We start from the raw sequence: 19401 nt of genomic DNA on the forward strand, positions 1-19401 counted from the left end.
ATCTCCATTTGGATTATTAGGCCAAAGCTTTCTAATTAAATTGCTGGTATTAACAATTACTCAAACTGAAAGCATACTGCCTAAGAGAAAATAGTCGATTCACTTTGCAAATTCAGTTATAAAGTGAAAGCAAGCATCAAAGTCGCATAAAAAGCCAAAGGAATCTGATCAAGAAATATTCCAAGATATGAACTGAGAGTCAGAACAGATTTATCTCAATGATCTCCCCAACTATGGCACAATGTAATGACTAAAGAATATTTTACTGCATATATCCAATATACTCAGAGATGAGTAGGCAAGGTGTGGGTATCAAAACAAATACAAAATATTTAGTACCCACTCAGTATCTGTTGAGTTACTTAATTAGCTAAATGAATGAACACAGTATGGTCTCTTCCCTCAAAAGTTTTACAATTGAATTGAAAGACAAATTTTTAAACTCTACTCTTATAGTTGCAGAGAAAGATAAAATTAACATCAGAAAGTTTAAAATCATTAAATACTTTATTTAAGAACAGTTTGTTTACCAAGTTAGGACAGTGGTTATGATTTCTCAATTTACACATATTCCTTTTGAAAATCTTAGAAAAAATGTTTCACCAATGTTAAGGTACAACTCTTGAATATGCAGCGTAGTCTTCTCTCTTTATTCTGAATAACAGAAGCACGTAAATTAAATTATCCTCTTTGCACAATTATTCCCCCCAAAACTAATTTATAACATATAATTATCTCCCTAAAAAGCAGTTACAAACCATAAATTGAATATGAATAAAATATGAAAAAGAGCACAAATTTTAAAGCCCTCCATGCAAAAAAAAATTAATACATTGGCTTTACCTATAAACCTTATTTTGTTAATGCTAAGCACAGAACCCTTATGGGCTCATAGGAGTCAGCAAACAGCTACAGATGAGTCTTCTTGTTAAGAATTCATTCAATGCTTCTCAGAATAGCAGATTTTAAAAAATGAATTCACTGAGGTTCTTAAACCTCTGAACATAAGGCAACAGTTCACAACTGATTTCAGAAATAGAAGGTAAGTATTAAATTACAAATTCTACTAGGTCAGTGGGAGTGGGCGGATTCACCTGGAGTGGAGCAGTGAAGGTTTATTTTACCTCTTTCAAGATCTCTCCATATATTCCACCAGTTTGAGATAGGCTGGGGGAGGAGGTGGAATAGCTTAAAAGGTTATATTTCTTATTTTAAAGTATAAAAACATACACTTAAAGGCTAAACCTATCTATAACCTACATCTTAATGTCAGCAAAACATACTGCTTTCTACCCAAATCACCAATTGAATCAGCCTCGCTCATGATTTCAGAGCATAAGGTGTCCAGAGAAGAAAACTCAAGACTGAATGGGCTGCCATAATGGGGAAGTACAGGTAGCCAAAGGCCAGCAATTGAGACAGCATTAGAGAAACTATCTACTATGTCTGAATAAGCTCCCCTACCTTACAAGCATCAACTACTACATTGAAACCATTCTGAGTGCTGCATTTCCTATATGTGCCTAGACTTGGTAATGCCTGATAAATTCTGTATATTACCACGTCTTGCATTTAATAGACAATTTGTTTAATGATACTAACTTTACTCACACTTAATTGACTTTCTCATATCCTGAGATTAATCTAAGAAAACTATTTCAAAGATAAATTTAAAATAATTTTTAAGGAACCCAGAATTTTTATTTAGAACACTGCTTTGACTTTTGTTATTACTTTGTATTTATTAGTATATCCTATTCATAATTTTGCACTGACTTTCAATATAAAATTAAATCTCTGCTTACACAAAATAACTGTCAGCTCCAAATCAACATGAATGGAGTGACACTGAAAATATCATACTATTCCCGATAAAAAGAGTTTAATGCAAAATAATTATTACCTGGTATTTCACATTCGGTTTGTGTCTTTATCTCTACTCCCAGGCAAATATTCTCACTTAAGACCAGTGCCTTCACTGCTTCTTGTAAAGACATTTAATTTAATGTTATTGCATATTTATTTATTTTTTATGCTTATTCATACAGAATTTATTACTTTCTAGAATTTTGGGATAAGAATCATAATCACTAATGCAAAATACTCTTAATTTTTTAAATGTTGTATTTCTCGTTTTTAAATATTAATAGTTCACTATTCTAAGTTTTTCATGAATAAAAAACACATCCTAAGTTCATGAAATCTGTGCGGTTCACTACTGTACCAGGTATTAAAACCTTAAGGGCTAATCCTCTTCACTTATGAGAATTTCTCAAGAATGAGTCAAATGCGCCACATTTAAATTTGCAGATTATTTTGTCTAGCTGCTCAATCAAGAGAAATACCACTCAAAGAAATCAATTCTAAATTCATGTCTTTAATGAATACTATGTTTTGCAACCTGTATAAAAACTGATCACCCAAGCACATGCAAAAGGAATATAGTTATCTTTAGTGGGCTTGCTAAAGTATTGACAACTAATCAGTGTCCTCTAAATACTCTTATTTTGGCAACAGCCCACAAGGTTAACTTTTAGAAAATTCAGCTTGATACAAGAAAATAATTCATCATAATTAGACAATATAATTTTTCCACTTTTGAGACAAAATATATAAATCAATACTTGTTTATATGACTTGCAAAATGTCTATACACTAAGATTGCTACAGTCTATGAGGTAACCAAAGGTAAGTGATACACATCCTTTAGAAAACACAATTTGTCTGGGGGGATGATTGCACATGTATTTAAATATGTTAAAACCACTGAATTGTGTATTTTAAATGTGTGATTATATGGTATGTGAATTGTATCTCATGAAGGCTTTTTAAACAAAACAACACTGATGTAACTTAGACCAAAAAAAAAAAAACCACAATTTGTCACACATTGTTCTTTTGAGACATATTTTTATAAAGACAGAAATTAACATTTGTAGCATCAGCAGGTTTGATTAGCACATGTTACCCATGTAGGTATAATTGTCTAATCAGTAGCCAAAGTGTGCCCTTGATGCTAATCACCCCTATAACTGAATAATCTGCAAATTACAAAATGAGTTGTAATCCCCCATCCACTACCAGAACATGCCCTGTAATATACGGTGATTCTAAAAGAAACACAACCGCATGTGCCACCTCAATAGTTTCTCCAAACCTCCCAAGAGGAATATTTTTCTTTAAATGTTCTTCTTTCAAGTCTTTCGTCATATCTGTGTGTACAAATCCTAAAAGAGAAATGTTTGTTTAGTTGAAAAGGGTACACACTAAGACATCTGCTGAATTTCAAAAAAAATAATAAATTTGTTTCTGAAAATTTTAATTTGAAATTATTTAAAAAAAAATTTTTTTTTGAGACAGGGTCTCACTCTGTCACCCAAGCTAGAATGCAGTGGTGCAAACACGACTCACTGCAGCCTGGACCTCTGGGGCACAGGTGATCCTCTTGCCTCAGCCTCCCAAGTAGCTGGGACTATAGGCATGCACCACCACACCTGGCTAGTTTTTGTACTTTTTGTAGAGTTGGGCCAGGCTGATCTCAAACTTCTGGACTCAAGGGATCGGCCCACCTCAGCCTCCCAAAGTGCTGGGATTACAGGCATGAGCCACCATACCCACCCTATAATTTGAAATTATTAATAAACCTTGTTTATATAAAATAGTTTTGTTGGCCAGGTGCAGTGGCTCATGACTGTAATCCCAGCACTTTGGGAGGCCGAGGTGGGCAGATCACCTGAGGGCAGGAGTTCGAGACCAGCCTGCCCAACATGGTGAAACCCCGTCTCTACTAAAAATACAAAAAATTAGCTGGGGGTGGTGGTGGACGCCTGTAATCCCAGCTACTCAGGAGGCTGAGGCAGGAGAATCGCTTGAACCTGGGAGGTGGAGGTTGGAGTGAGCCGAGATTGTGTCACTGCACTCCAGCCTCAGCGACAAGAGTGAAACTCCATCTCAAAAAAAGCAAAACAAAACAAAATAGTTTTGTTAGTAATCAAGACACCAAGCCTACATTTTTATACAATTTAACTCAATGAATATTTATTGGACACTAAAATATCTGACCCCCAAGTATCTGGCCCACCTAGCAAAATATAAGTAGGTAGACACAAACATGAATAAAACAAAATTCCACTCTTTGGGGAACCTATGATTTGTGGAGGAAATGGTCACTTGCACACCCGATTATAACGTAAAGAAGTCTGGTGAATATCCTGATAGAAGTATATATAAAATATCATAGAATACATTAATTTTCACTTAGGTAGGGATAGAAAAGTAGAAAGTAGTGTCAAGGGAAGGAAGGCATCACAAAAGTGGTCACATGAACTGATTTGGTAGCTGATGATTAGAAAGGCCAGTATTTCCCATATCTGGATTTTAAAATCTTACGGTCATATCCAATTCTGATACAAGTAAACATAGAAAATTCAAATTCAGTAAAGCCTGCCAAGAAAATGTTCTAAAGAATGTATTAGGTTCTACAGTATAAAGAACTAACTACATAATATATAACCAACCAATCCTAAATAACTACAAATACATACCAGGGAGAACTGTAGACTTATGAAGAAAATCTTACAAGATTAATACAGGACATACAAATACGTATTAATAAAATGCTTAGCCCATATAATCAGTATCCTGTATATTACTCAATCATTTGGGTTTTTAAAAAGAAAGCAATATTAATCCTCATGAAAAGAATAGAAAAAAATTTTTAAGGTCATGAAAAATAGATGGACTAAAACTTCAACATGACGTGTGAAGTAAACATTTAATGTGCAATCTCAAAAATACAGTTTTCAAATTGCCTGTTAAAACTAAATCATTTATAGCTCAAACTATAGATAAACCTAAATATATTACCTTTTAAAGTACCATAATAAATGTGAAGTAAACAATGAATTAAGAATTAACATTAGGCCATTGGTTTATTATGCAATACTATGTAATTACTTAACTTTCCTTTCTTTAGGTTTGCAGTTATAAATATCTACGCATTTTCTTAAAAGTCTTGTGAAAAATATTCACAGATTTGTCTATCATGAAGCTTATGAATGACACTTTCATTAGGAAAAAACTGAAACAAGCTGAATGTCTTTCAATAAGAAACTGGTTAAATAAGTTATGATACAGCCATACAACAGAATAATGCAGGTATTAAAAATAATGCTATATGTTCTCACTTGTAACTGGGAGCTAAAGAATGTGTACACATGGATGTGATCACAATGGAGATTCAGAAGGGTGAGAGGGTGGGACAGAGGTGAATAAGAAATTACCTAATAGGTACAATGGGTGTTATTCAGGTGACAGATACCCTAAAAGCCCTGACTTCCCACTATGAAATCTATGCATATAACCAAACTGCATCTGCACCTGCATTCATTTGTATTTATACAAATAAATGAATAAGATAAAAATAAAAAATAAAAATTATGCTATAGAAGGATACTTAAATCTGAAAGTAACATTTGTGTATAAAATGTAGGTTACAAATGAATTAAGTTATACCACTATTAAAAACACAACAAAGAACTTATACTAATGACTGAAAAAAGTACTATATACCAAAATATTAACAGTGATTATCATTAGATACTAGAATTACAGGTAATGATTTTTATTTTCTTTATATTTTTCTGCTCTTTCCAAACTGTCTACAACAGATATATATATTATTTTTGTATTCAGATAAAAAGTTGTTGAAAAAATGCACACAGTACTACCTTCAGATAGTCTGTAATGAAGGCCTGGAATAACAAAACTAATTTTGTATTATGTATGTTTCACTGTGAAATTACACAGTGAAATACAGTCTTCTCTGCCATAACATCTTACCACATTTATTTTAAAAGTCAGCAATATTTCCTTCATATCCTCTCATCTTTAAGAAGAATGAGAAGGCCAGAAGGAATGCAAGAATAAAAGGAGAAGCAGCTAACACAGATATTGATACTAGCCTCTGCAGAATTTCCAACAAACTATAAATGAAACTTAATTTACAGTGAAGAGCCACAATAATCAACAGGCAATCCAATCAGCTTAAGAACAATATCATGGGGGTTCTCGCTGTCCAAAGTTTTCTGTCTTTAGACACATGTATTTTCCTTTTTTTTTTTTTTTTGAGACAAGAGTCTCACTCTGTCACCAGGCTGGAATGCAGTGGTGCGATCTAGGCTCACCGCAACCTCCGCCTCCTGGGTTCAAGCGACTCTCCTGCCTCAGGCTCCCCAGTAGCTGGGACTACAGGCACACGCCACCATGCCCAGCTAATTTTTGTATTACTAGTAGAGACGGGGTTTCACCAGGTTGGCCAGGATGGTCCTGAACTCCTGACCTCAGGTGATCCACCCACCTCAGCCTCCCAAAGTGCTAGGATTACAGGCGTGAGCCACTGTGCCCAGCCAACAAAAGTATTTTCAAAAGTGCCTCAGAGAGTATCCTAGGAAGAAAACCTCATCTCACACTTGTAATAAAAGCAGAATGAATAAAAATTGTCAAAAACATGTAAAAGTTCATGTTATCTTCTCAAAGATAGACACAATTATCCTTTAAGTTCTTTTCAAACTCTAGCAAAATTAGCATAGAATACTTCCCAGTAACTCTCACAAACTGTCAGCATAAAAATCGATGCATTTTAACCCAAAAAACAAAAACAGAAAAACACAATAAACTACAGTAGAAATGGTTTGCAAGAAAGACCTTGTGACTATGCAAATCCCAGGCTCAACTTCTGACTCTGCTGGCCTGGCCTTTTCTCAAAGGCAGTATTTTGTGGTTAAAAAAAACCACTGGATTAGGACACATTAAACTAGATTCTGTTCCCTGCTCTGCTGATACTATTAAAGCTATCACCCGAGAAAAGTCACGTGCTAAGACCAGCTCGGTCACGGAGACCTTAACACAGCAGCACTAGAGGAATTAAAGACACACACAGAAATATAGTGTGGAGTGGGAAATCAGGGGTCTCACGGCCTTCAGAGCTGAGAGCCTCAAACAGACATTCACCCACATATTTACTGACAGCAAGCCAGTGATAAGCATTCTTTCTATAGATGATAGATTAACTAAAAGTATTCCTTACGGGAAACAAAGGGATGGGCCGAAATAAAGGGATGGGTCTGGCTAGTTATCAGCAGCAGGAGCAAGCCCTTAAGGCACAGATCGCTCATGCTATTGTCTGTGGTTCAGGAACGCCTTTAAGCGGTTTTCCACCCTGGGTGGGCCAGGTGTTCCTTGCCCTCATTCCGGTAAACCCACAAACTTCAGCATGGGTGTCATGGCCATCACAAACAGGTCACGGTGCTGCAGGGATTTTGTTTATGGCCAGTTTGGGGGCCAGTTTATGGCCAGATTTGGGGGCCTGATCCCAACAGTCATGTACTATCTGCAACTGAATGACCATTTCTGTATCATAAAATGAATGTAATAGGTGGAAAATGACAGATCTCTGAGGTTTCTTTTCTGTTTTTTCTTTTTTGCTTTTTTTCTTTTGAGACAGTCTGGCTCTGTCACCCAAGCTGGAGTGCAGTGGCACAATCACGGCTCACTGCAACCTCTGCCTCCCAGGTTCAAGCAATTATCCTGCCTCAGCCTCCCCAGCAGCTGGGACAACAGGCGCCTACCACCACGCCTGGCTAATTTTTTTTTTTTTTTTTTTTTTTTTTGAGACGGAGTTTGGCTCCTGTCACCCAGGCTGGAGTACAATGGCATGATCTCAGCTCACTGAAACCTCCGCCTCCCGGGTTCAAACAATTCTTCTGCCTTAGCCTCCCGAGTAGTTAGGATTACACGCATGCATCACCACACCAGGCTAATTTTGTATTTTTAGTGGAGACAGGGTTTCACCAGGTTGGTTGGGCTGGTCTCAAATTACTGGCCTTAGGTGATCAGCCTGCCTTGGTCTCCCAAAGTACTGGGATTACAGGCGTGAGCCACCATGCAGCCTGGCCTGAGGTTTCTTTTAGCCCTACAACACTACGATTCAAAGATTAAAAGTATGCCTCATTAAGTACTCTTCATGACAACTTGACTTGAACTTTAGGAATGTAAGTTCCCTTAAAAGGGCCCTCAGTTCTTACATTGGTAGGTACATAGAGGTTAGAATACTTCCAATTCAAGAAGCACTAACGCTAACCTGGGTTTTCATCCATGCTGTGTTGAAAGGAACTGATCAGCCCTTCTTCTGGGTGGATGTTAGTTCTGATATGTTTGTCCTTTCGGAGACAAAAAGTAAGGCCACAAAAGTTGTGAGTGACCATTTGAACAGGTTTTTTCACCTCGGGGAAAAAAGCAGATCTAGAATAAGGCATGAGATACTGGAAGGTCTCCAAGCCTTAGACAGGCAAGGAGACCTAAGCAGTGAGACACTTTCAGGGACAATCCCAGTGAGATGGAAAGATGACCTCTACCACACAGACATGGGCTGACATCCTTCTTTCTGCTTGTATTACTTTCTAGTCTGTGCTCTCTCTCCTTGGCCCCAAAGGACTCTCCCCCATATCATCCTTTCATTTCATTTGTAAAACTCTGGAAATTTTGCTCTACTCCCCTTTTTGCTAGGTATACATTTACAATGCCTTTCACACTAGGCTATAAACATTACAAACTACCAGTAGGTGCCACTGTCCAACAAATAATGCTACTGCATCTCCTGGAGAGTTAGACGTTTCCAGTTTGGAGGACAGACATGTGATCCCCCAAAAACAACCAAGTAAGCTAGATATGGAACAGATAAAGGCTAACATCTTGAAGCTTTTAATAAGGTCTTGTTAAATGTTATAGCCTGGATTCATCTCTGCTATAGTCTATGTCTATGTTAGGTCAGATCTGTACAAGAGAGAGTGGTGCCCTCTGAATCCAACATGATTACAAGAAGTCCAGAACAGGAATGATGATGTTCAGCCACCCACCTCGAATGAAAAGTCTCCCTCCACTGCTCAAGCTTAGAAGATAAGGGTGTGATTTATTTAGGGAAAGCTTGCCACAATCTCTCCCCAGACCTATGAATGGATACTTGGAATAACAAATATCAGGGGACAGCTGCTAGCCATCACTGAACTCTGCACTAAAAGTAAAGTGGGTGAGAGAGGCCAAGTTGAAAGGAAGGGATGAATTCACCAATGCTGGTTTTTCCTCTTTGATTATGTTATTTTCTATGGAGGACATGAACATGTCCAAAGAGCCTCTCTTCATTTTCTGTAGCTTTTTAAAAAATTTATAAACTTTACATTTTTGAGGAATTTTAGGTTTACAGAAAAATTGAACACAACGTTCAGATAGATCCCATGCACCCCCTTTTCACATCACCCCCCCCTTTCCATTTCCCATTACTAACATCTTACCTTAGTGTGGCACATTTATTACAACTGATAAACCAATATTGATACATTATTAAGTAAAGTCCATAGTTTACATTAGGGTTCACTCTTTATTTTATATATTTATGTATTCATTTATTAATACCATTTTGTCTTCACAAGCTAAGGGTTCACTCTTTAGACTGTACAGTTCTACAGGTTTGGACAAATGCATAATATCATGTGTCCACCATTACAGTAGCAGACAGAATAGTTTTACTGCCCTAATAATCTGTCTGTAGCTTTTTAAAACTCATGTATCTGTCCCCACTTTATCAGAAATTAAATAAAATTTATCAGAAATTAAATTAAAAATGTAAAGCTAGTCTCTAATGATAAATTACTCTGGGCTGTATGGAACTTCCATGTCATTTTATATTAAAGGTTATGAACCACGTGATCTTCATTTATAAATATATTCACAACCCAGGACATGACATATAAATGGTCTCTTAGGTTCCATATCATGTATCACAGACCTGAAGAGAGAGATTAATAGTCCTTAAACAACTCACACACCCTTCTTACTACTTGTATTACTTTCCGGTCTGTGCTCTCTCTCCTTGGCCCCAAAGGACTCTCCCCCATATCATTCTTTCACTTCATTTATAAAATTCTGGAAATTGTGCTCTACTCCCCTTTTTGCTAGGTATATATTAACAATGCCTTTCAAACTAGGCTATAAAATTTACAGACTACCAGTAGATGCCACTGTCCAACAAATGATGCTACTGCATCACCTGGACAGTCAGAGGTTTCCAATTGGCTACAAAGTTATCACTTCTTAACTCGACGAAAAGATAACTGAAATGACAAGCATTAAACCAATTTAGAGCAAAGATACTTCTAGTTTAGTTCCATATATGTGATTAAAAACCCAGTTCAATTTTTATAGGAACTCTTTAGGAACAGGGACACTCTTGCTCAAAAAGGTAAATGCATGGCTCCTGCCCAATGAGGATTTATATTTGATAAACTCTAAAGATATAGGCCAGGTGTGGTGGCTTATGCCTGTAATCCCAGCTACTACTGAGGCAGGAGGATCGCTTGAACCCAGAAGGTCTAGGCTGCAGTGAGCCAAGACTGCACCACTATACTCCAACCTAGGCAACAGAATGAAACCCCATCTCAAAAAAATTTTTAAACAATTTTTTTAAAAAGATTATATCCTTTATCGATTTCTGACTAGCTATAAACTATAAATAGAAACACCTCATTTCCATATCCCTAGGTCATTATTTTAGTTTTCAACATTTTTATATACAGCAGAGCCTTTATATTTAAAAAGGCATCAGGATTTTAGCCTATCACTAGTACTAACAATTGTGAGATGGGGCACTATTTGATGTATCTGCCAGATAAGATGTCCACTCTTTGATGTAAGTTTCTAGGACTCAAAAAGAACAAAAACAACCCAACACTTTTCTAAGGGAGAAGAAATAAGGCTCTTACCAAAAAGCTAAACCAAGATTTTAACTAGAACAAATTTCTATGTCTTAATATTATATTTGTAGAGGGAAGCAGAGTGGGAAATCAACTTCATTCCAAACAGCACATAAGAACACTTAGAATATCTTCTCTGAGTAGCTAACAAACTCATGCAAATCTTTGTCAACAAGATTTTCTCCAAGTAGTAAACATAAAAGCTCTTCAACTTAAAAAATAAAGTACTGAAACACTTAAGGTATCCTGTAGAAATAAACATAATACTATTTGTCAAAATTAAAAATGCACATACCTCTGAAGCCTTTGCAGTTCCAGTCCCAAGATTACACTCATATACTTGCAAATGTGCAAAATAAACTCCATACAAGTATTGTCACTGCATCATTAGTTGTAACAGAAAAAGTTCAGAACAAAACTAAATGTCCATCAAAAGGCAACAGGTTAAATAAATTAGGTATACCTTTAAAACAAACATCATTTTCTGTTTTCATTCAGTCATTAAAAGTGACATAACAGTCACAAAACACCAAATATTACATGATTCAATTTATATGAAATGTCCAGAATATGCAAATCTGTAGATACAGAAAGTAGTTTAGTGTACTGGGGAGATTGGAAAGAAATAGGGAATGAATGTTAATGGGTTTAGGATTTCTTTAAGGATGATGAAAACGTTCTAAAATTTACTGTGGTGAAGATTGAACAATTCTGGGACTATACTAAAACCACTGAATTGACTGAATTGTAAACTTTAAATGGGTGAATTGTATGGTATGTGAATTGTATTTCCACAAAGCTGTTATTTAAAAAAGTGAAGCAGCTCTATATGGAATAACACAGAAACATCACCAAGGTATCTTGTTCTATGAATAAAGGAAGATACAGAAAGCTGTGAATTGCATGATACAATTTGTGTTTTCTTACACTCATGCCCAGCATGCTTTATTGGCTTATATATGAAATACAAAAGAAACTTTGTAGTTAACAGCAACTACTTTTAAGTAACTGAATGTCCAGAGGAGAAAAGACTCTTTATGCCTTTTTGTACTTTTGAATTTCGTACTATATGTATTATCTATTCAAAACACATATTTTTTAAGGTAATACAGCCATTACAGTTTCCATTTATCAAATATTATTTCTAATATTCAATATCTTCCAATCAGTATGATTTCCCATGAACAGTTTATTTTATATTTAAAGTAATACCAAAGATTAGCAGCTATTGATCTTTAAAAAGTCAACAGTATTAGGCAATGAATCGCAGCCTAATTTATTATTTTCCTTGTTCCTTGCTTTTCCTGTTATAATTTGCTTTTAAACTGTTTTCCTGCTAATTGGAAACTCCATTTGAAGGTGACCAGGAAAACTGACATAAAAGGACACATATTTGTTAACTGTGATGTTTGTTAGCTGTGTTACAAGATCTGTTGAAGAATCTGGTTGAAATTACTATCTAAAATAAAGTTGGTAAGTAATCCACAGAACTGATTTAATTCTACTATTTCAAGTTGCACTTTGCTTCTGACAAATGATGCATATTCATACCATCAAATCTGCTAAATATACATAAAGGCCACTCTATTAAATGGCCACATTTTCAGCTACAGGTTTTTATCTGTAGTATAAATTGCACTGGAAATCCATAATATATAAATATATATTATGCTCTATAAGGGTTGTATGCTCAACAAAAAAGGGGAGTGATAAATAAAACCACCACTTTCAAAAAAAAAAAAAAAAAACTGCACTGGAAAGTAAAATCTTTAAGAAAGAAAGACTACAACCACACTTCCATAACAATCTTAAAACTTCCCCTTAGTATGCAAACTGGATTCCCACTATTTAGTCTACTGCCTTGACAACTATTTACTCTAAACTAGACAAAATTAAGCATTCTTTCCTTCTTCAACATTTCTATAGCACCATATATGTACCTCTATTTTATATTCGTCATATGACACTGCAATTATTTGTTTACATGTCAGTCTTTTTCACTATACTTAGCTCCTTGTGCAGAAATATCTTATTCATTCCTGTAATTTGGGGAGCTAGCTCAGTCCCTACACGTAGGAGACATGCCAGAAAGTTTGCTGCATGAGTTATTGTTAGCTAAGTACACTTCCATTCCCCGAAACCATTCAGCTTTTGTATTATCATGAACTAAAATTAACCCTTCATTACCCACAGTATTCCAATCCTGAAAAGAGAAGGAAGCAAATACATGTAGTTCCAAACCACAAATAATTTATTCCACAGATAGTTCATCTAGGCTAACGCTAAAAATCAATCAGCTTGCATAAAGCATACACAAAGAGAAAACAGTGCTAAGATAACAACAATGCTGCTTCTGGATTGTTTTTTCTTTTTCTTTCTCTCCCTACTCCCAGCAAATAGATGTATCTGAACCACAGTCACTTATCAAATATTCATAGATTTAGAATGTCTGAATGTAGCTAGTTGCTATGAGAAAAAAAAAAAAGAAAAGAAAAGAATTGAAATAAAGACACACTATAGACCAAAAGGGTTAATAGGATATTTTGATAAATCCCTGATACCTGCTGGCTCAACTTCAGTGCCAAAGAAAACACCAACTGTAAGGTCCAAGCTGGAGCCATTAGTGACCGGAAAGGGAAAGGTAGCAAAGGTCTACTTCAGCCCTCTCTTTCTTACAAAGGACCAGCAAACCAAAATAAACTGCCTTTTCTTATATAGGTGATTAATTCTTAAGTACCTACAGTAGGCTAGGACAAAGATTCCATGGCTAACTGGCAGAGGTAGATAAAAACACTTGTGTTACTCAAAAACCAAGTAAATACCTAATCAAAATTTCTAGCACACCAGCTAATTAGTGATCATATATTTTTGAGTTTTAGCACCTTTTTATTACCCTCTTCATTAATCCAGGCAATTTTATCAACTAGTACCCTGGCGAAAGGCAAATAATGGAAAAGTAAAAATTAGGAAAATGGGAGGTTCCAGATAGTTTAGACAGACCATAGTAGTAAAAGGACAAAACTATCTAAAGTTTGTGTAATGATATAAAGAAAATCTAAAAAGAATTTTTTTTTTAATTTTTATAGAGACAGGGTCTCAACAGGGTCTCGCTCTGTCACCTAGGCTGGAGTACAATGGCATGATCATAGCTCACTGCAACCTCCAACTCCTGGACTCCAGCAATCCTCCTGCTTCAGCCTCCCAAATAGCTGGGACTATAGGTGTGCACCACCACACCCAGCTAATTTTTTTTTTTTTTTTTCGGTACAGACAGCATCTTGCTATGTTGCTCAGGCTGATCTGGAACTCCTGGCCTCACAATACTCCTGCCTCAGCCTCCCACATGAGCTACCATACCTGGTAGGACATTATTTTTAAGCTCCCATTAGGTGGAAATCAAAAGACAAAGCTTTTAGTAACAGTTCTTCCATAAACTAGCTGTGTAACCTTAGGCAAGTCACTCTGAATCCCAGGTACAGTTTTCTAATCTACAAAAATGACTGGAAAAAATTATTTCTAAGACCCTCTCCACCTTAAGTTATTCCACTAGTGCAAAATTTAAAAATAAAGACTCTTATGGTTTGGATGTCTGTCCCCTCCAAATCTCATGTTGAAATGTGATTCCCAATGTTGGAGGTGGGCCTAGCGGGAGGTGTTTGGGTCATGGAGGCGGATTCCTCATGAATAGCTTGGTGCCCTCCACATGGTAAATAATGAGTTCTCACTGTTAGTTCATGCCAGAGCTGGTTGTTTAGAGCCTGCCACCTCCTCTCTCTCTTGCTCCTGCTATCCCCATATGACTTGGCTGCTACCTCTTTACCTTCCGCCATGACTGAAAAAAAGTTTCCTGGGCCTCACCAGAAGCTGAGCAGATGTTGGTGTCATGCTTGTACAGCCTGCAGGCCCGAGAGCCAAATAAGCCTCTTTTTTTTATGAATTACCTCAGACAGTCCTTTAGAGCAATGCAAACAGGCTAACACATAGACTTTATATAGAATATGAGGTACAAAAAATTTTTTTGAGTCCCCCAGTTCATTATTTGATTCTTTTCACAATCATTTTACAAACTATTCTACCCAGATGTCAATTACTAATGTTCCAAATAATGGCTTCCCTATAAAACAATAATCATAATCAAGTTATTTTAATAAAGTTTTCACTAACCTGGTGCAACTACATTCACTCTAATTTTCTTTCTTGCTACCTCTTTAGCAAGAGCACGTGAAAATCCAACTAATCCTCCTTTACTGGCACTGTAAACGGACTGGCCAGAGTTGCCTTTTAAGCCAACAATGCTTCCTAGGACAAAAAAAAAAAAAAAAAAAAAAAAAGCGTATTAAATTCAATTAATGGGGTTACTTGAAAATTTAGATAATTTATAGTAAACAAAAAGGTAAAACCCACTTCACCTTGTCCTTTGTTAAAATTAGAAATTCTAACCATTGTCATCAGTCATTTACGGAAGATTTAAGAGTCCAAGTCTGCTCCAGATACATACAGAAAATAGCATCTGAAAGCAGCTGATACAAAACTGCCAATGCAGGTGCTTGCGAATTGATTCACTACGTGAAGGGGATGCACTCTAATCTCTGAGTAGGTCAGATATGATGAAAATTCTGTGGTATTTATAAAGGCTTCCAGCAGGTAGAGGTTAAAGCCAGAAAAAGTCAGACAAAAGCTGACTAATTTTATGATTCTACAACACAGACATAAGGCAGAAAGCTCTCGTTTTCACCCTAAAAACTAGTTCATTTGAAGCTAAATCTCACTAAAATTGAATTACATGCATAACTCATTTTATTGTTCTGCTTTATTGTGCTTTGCAGATATTGCATTTTTTTTTTTTTTTTTTAACAAATTGAAGGCTTGTAGCAACCTTGCAACAAGCAATTCTATTAGCACTTTTCCAACACCATGGCTCACTGTGAGCAGTGCTCACTCTGTGTCTCTTTGTCACATTTTGGTAATTTTCATACCATCTTAAATTTTTTCATTATTATTACATCTGTTATAATGATCTGTGATCAGTGATTCTTGATGTTTACTGCTGTTGGGGTGCCACAAACAAAATATTACTGCTCACTGACAATGCATCTGGTCACCAAAGAGCTCTGATGGATATGTACAAGGAGATTAATGTTGTTTTCGTGCCTGTTAACACAATATCCTTTCTTCAGCTCATGGATCAAGGGATAATTCTGACTTTCAAGTCTTATTTAAGAAACATTTTATAAGTCTATAGCAGTCATAAATAGTAATTCCTCTTAGGAATCTGGGCAAAGTAAATTAAAAGCCTTCTGGAAAGGATTCACCGTTCTATATGCCATTCAGAACATTTGTGATTCATGGCAGGTCAAAATACCAACATTAACAGAAGTTTGAAAGAAGTTATTTTAACCCTCATGGATGACTTTGTGGGGTTCAAGACTTCAGTGGAGCAGAATTACAAGTGGAGCCTGAAGATGTGACTGAATTGCTGCAATCTTATGATAAAACAAATGGGTGAGGAGTTGCTTCTTATGTATGGATAAACAAAGTTGTTTCTCAAGATGGAATCTCTTCCTTGTGAAGATGTGAATACTGTTGAAAGAAATGACAAAGGATTTAGAATATCCTATAAACTTAGTTGATAAAGCAATAGCAGGGATTGAGAGGAGTGGCTCCAATTTTTAAAGATCTACTTGCATAAAATGCTATCAAACAGCATCACATGCTGCAGAGAAATCTCTCACGAAATGAAGAGTCAATCAATGTGGCAAATTTTGTCTTATTCTAAGACTTGGAACCAAATCAAATGTGCAACAATGACAGACTGGATTAAGAAAATGTGGCACATATACACCATGGAATACTAAGCAGCCATAAAAAATGATGAGTTCATGTCCTTTGTAGGGACATGAATGAAATTGGAAATCATTCTCAGTAAACTATCGCAAGGACAAAAAACCAAACACCGCATGTTCTCACTCATAGGTGGGAACTGAACAATGAGAACACATGGACACAGGAAGGGGAACATCACGCTCTGGGGACTGTTGTGGGGTGGGGGAAGCGGGGAGGGATAGCATTGGGAGATATACCTAACGCTAGATGACGAGTTAGTGGGTGCAGCACACCAGCATGGCACATGTATACATATGTAACTAACCTGCACATTGTGCACGGTACCCTAAAACTTAAAGTATAACAATAATAAAATAAAAAAATAAAAAAAATAAAGAAATTGCCACAGCCACTATTATCAGTCAGCAGCCATAAACATCAAGGCAAGACCCTCCGCCAGCAAAGATTATGACTTGCCAGAAGCTCAGATGATCATTAGCATTTTTTAGCAATAAAGTATTTTTTTAGCAACAAAGTATTTACATTTTTTTTAGATATAATGCTACTGCATACTTAATAGACCATAATATAACTTTTACATGCACTGAGAAACTAAACAATTGGATAAGACAAAATTTGCCACATTGATTGACTCTTCATTTCATGAAAGATTTCTCTGCAGCATGTGATGCTCTTTGATAGCATTTTATCCAAGTAGAACTTTAAAAATTGGAGCCTCTCCTCTCAATCCCTGCTATTGCTTTATCAACTAAGTTTATAGGATATTCTAAATCCTTTGTCATTTCAACAGTATTCACATCTTCACAAGTAGATTCCATCTTGAGAAACAACTTTGTTTATCCATACATAAGAAGCAACTCCTCACCCATTTGTTTTATCATGAGATTGCAGCAATTCAATTTGTGTGACTTACATTCTTGACATATTCGCTTTATTCCGGTGGAGCAGAACCAAAGCTACAATATCTGCGAGACATGCTTGTACTGTCAATCTAAATTGGCAAAGCTTCAATTATACACTTTTTGTAAAAGTGCAATTTCATTACATTCAGTGATATATTGTAAACTGTACTGCCTACTGAAGATTCTTGAGTGACCACATCTAATGAATATGTAATAATAATTTTTAATTCAAATATCAACTATATGCAAATAAACTCTTGCAAAACAGAAGTGGGGAAGTAATTTTCTGCACCACTGACCTGTACTTATGATACAAAAATTAATCAAGGACCTCACAAAATTTTTTTAAAGTAATTTTAAAAAAAGAAAACATTCCAAACATTTCTCTATTAGAATCAACAAGTTCAGTATTAGAATATTTATCTACATTATATATTGTAGGCCAATTAATAACAAAGGAAGAGAACTGTGAAGTACACAGAGAGAACAGACATCAGACTGAAGAAATGCATATGGATAGAGGGGTGTTTATCAGAAAGAAAAATACAGAGACACAAAAAAAGAAAAATACATGCACGAAAAAAATACCAAAACAGGGCTGGTCCGATGGTAGCGGGTTATCAGAACCTATTAACAGTAGTGTCACTAAAGTTAGTATACAACCCCCAACTGCTAAATATGAGTGGCTTTTAAAAGAAAAAAAAACACAAGCTGCTTTAGCAGCTTTGATTCGTGCCACGCACTACTGTTCATCAGGTCAAAAAGTGGTAATTTCTGAAATACCAATGAAGTGTCTGGCAGTTTAAAGTAGTCCTTCCTGTAGTAAGATTCTCAATTTACTATCTATTATTTACTTTTAGCTCAATTCTAAAAGTTTTGCATGCATAAGGAGGACTAATGGGTTTTTTAAATACACCTAAAAAAAAGAAGATTTTAGAGTTAAACAAATATACCTCAGGTTATCAGGTGACAGATACAGGCCTGTTTGCCTGCTTGTAAGTATCCAAAGTCCTTATCTGGCTGTGTTAAAAGGCAAAGGTTGACTCATTGACTAATCTCTTACATAAGAAAACGGATCCCTTAAATTTTTAAGAGTAAATGTCCAAAATGCTCTCATGTCCCCTTAGTTTATTAGCATAGTATTCTTTCCTTTTCTCACTTTCAAAACAGAAAAACTCTAAATTCTGGCTTGAAAAACCATTTCCTACATTTAAAAGAACAGGGTCACTTACTTTTATGGAGCAGCATCTCCCTTCTGTGGCCTTTTAAGGTATTACCATTTGAAAATAAAAAGCAGATGGTATACTATTATTTCCAAATTACCAAACTGAAATAAAATTTCAAGTCATTTTGCATTTTAAGTTCTACAGGCATATACTCCACAGCTTATCTGCCCTGTGGGTTAGATGAACTGAAAACTAGGGGTTACTTACATCCATTCTTAAAAACAGAGAAATTTTATCTTCCTTTAAACCTCTACACAAGATTTAACAGTAACCCATGAAACTGCTGTAGACAATATTATTTAGCCACCACTGTCTACTTTAATTCCTTGTCCATGTTTTAAAAATCAGGTTCCTGGCTGGGCACGTGGCTCACCTCTATAATCCCAGCACTTCGGGAGGATCACTTGAGCCCATGAGTTAAAGACCAGCCTAGGCCACATAGTGTGACCTCGTCTCTATTTAAAAAAAAAAAAATTCACATAAAAATCAGAATGATCCAATTTCTCTTGAAAAATCAAAATTGCTGGCAAAACTGGGACCACATTCTTGCACGGCAACAATCTACTGAATCTAAGTGGTGGCCTCCACCATTCCATATGGGCTCTGGACAATGAAGCTGGATAT

The 19401-nt window shown here is 36.0% G+C and overlaps 1 protein-coding gene and 1 pseudogene across 10 annotated transcripts in view, besides 2 other annotated features; one reads left to right on the forward strand and one right to left on the reverse strand.

Annotated features, from left to right (window-relative positions):
• The window catches only part of CBR4 (carbonyl reductase 4), a 115770-nt gene that overhangs the window by 92616 nt on the left and 3753 nt on the right, over positions 1 to 19401 (reverse strand). For 4 of the 10 annotated variants that reach the window (XR_007057980.1, XR_001741341.2, XM_017008782.2 and 1 more), the window contains exons 4-5: positions 18784 to 18813; positions 14970 to 15104 (exon numbers count right to left, since the gene is read on the reverse strand). Coding sequence is in view for 8 of the 10 variants with exons in the window: in XM_017008782.2 (XP_016864271.1) it covers positions 14970 to 15104; positions 18784 to 18813 (165 nt within the window). In the remaining 2 variants the exon portion in view is untranslated. Of the gene's footprint in view, positions 1 to 488; positions 3228 to 14969; positions 15105 to 18783; positions 18814 to 19401 lie in introns of those variants that run through there. The other 6 variants (XM_011532386.3, XM_006714391.2, XM_005263315.4 and 3 more) reach the window with 4 other exon arrangements.
• Positions 7210 to 8016: an enhancer, noted in NCBI's record as "H3K27ac hESC enhancer chr4:169915462-169916268 (GRCh37/hg19 assembly coordinates)". NCBI's record gives its function as "activates a minimal SCP1, AML or CMV promoter by ChIP-STARR-seq in primed H9 embryonic stem cells {active_cell/tissue: H9 hESC(primed)}" and the evidence as "EXISTENCE:reporter gene assay evidence [ECO:0000049][PMID:30033119]".
• Positions 8017 to 8822: an enhancer, noted in NCBI's record as "H3K27ac hESC enhancer chr4:169916269-169917074 (GRCh37/hg19 assembly coordinates)". NCBI's record gives its function as "activates a minimal SCP1, AML or CMV promoter by ChIP-STARR-seq in primed H9 embryonic stem cells {active_cell/tissue: H9 hESC(primed)}" and the evidence as "EXISTENCE:reporter gene assay evidence [ECO:0000049][PMID:30033119]".
• Positions 18148 to 18242, forward strand: RNY4P17 (RNY4 pseudogene 17; annotated as a pseudogene).

This window comes from Homo sapiens, chromosome 4, assembly GCF_000001405.40.
Source record: "Homo sapiens chromosome 4, GRCh38.p14 Primary Assembly".
Classification (NCBI taxonomy): domain Eukaryota; kingdom Metazoa; phylum Chordata; class Mammalia; order Primates; family Hominidae; genus Homo; species Homo sapiens.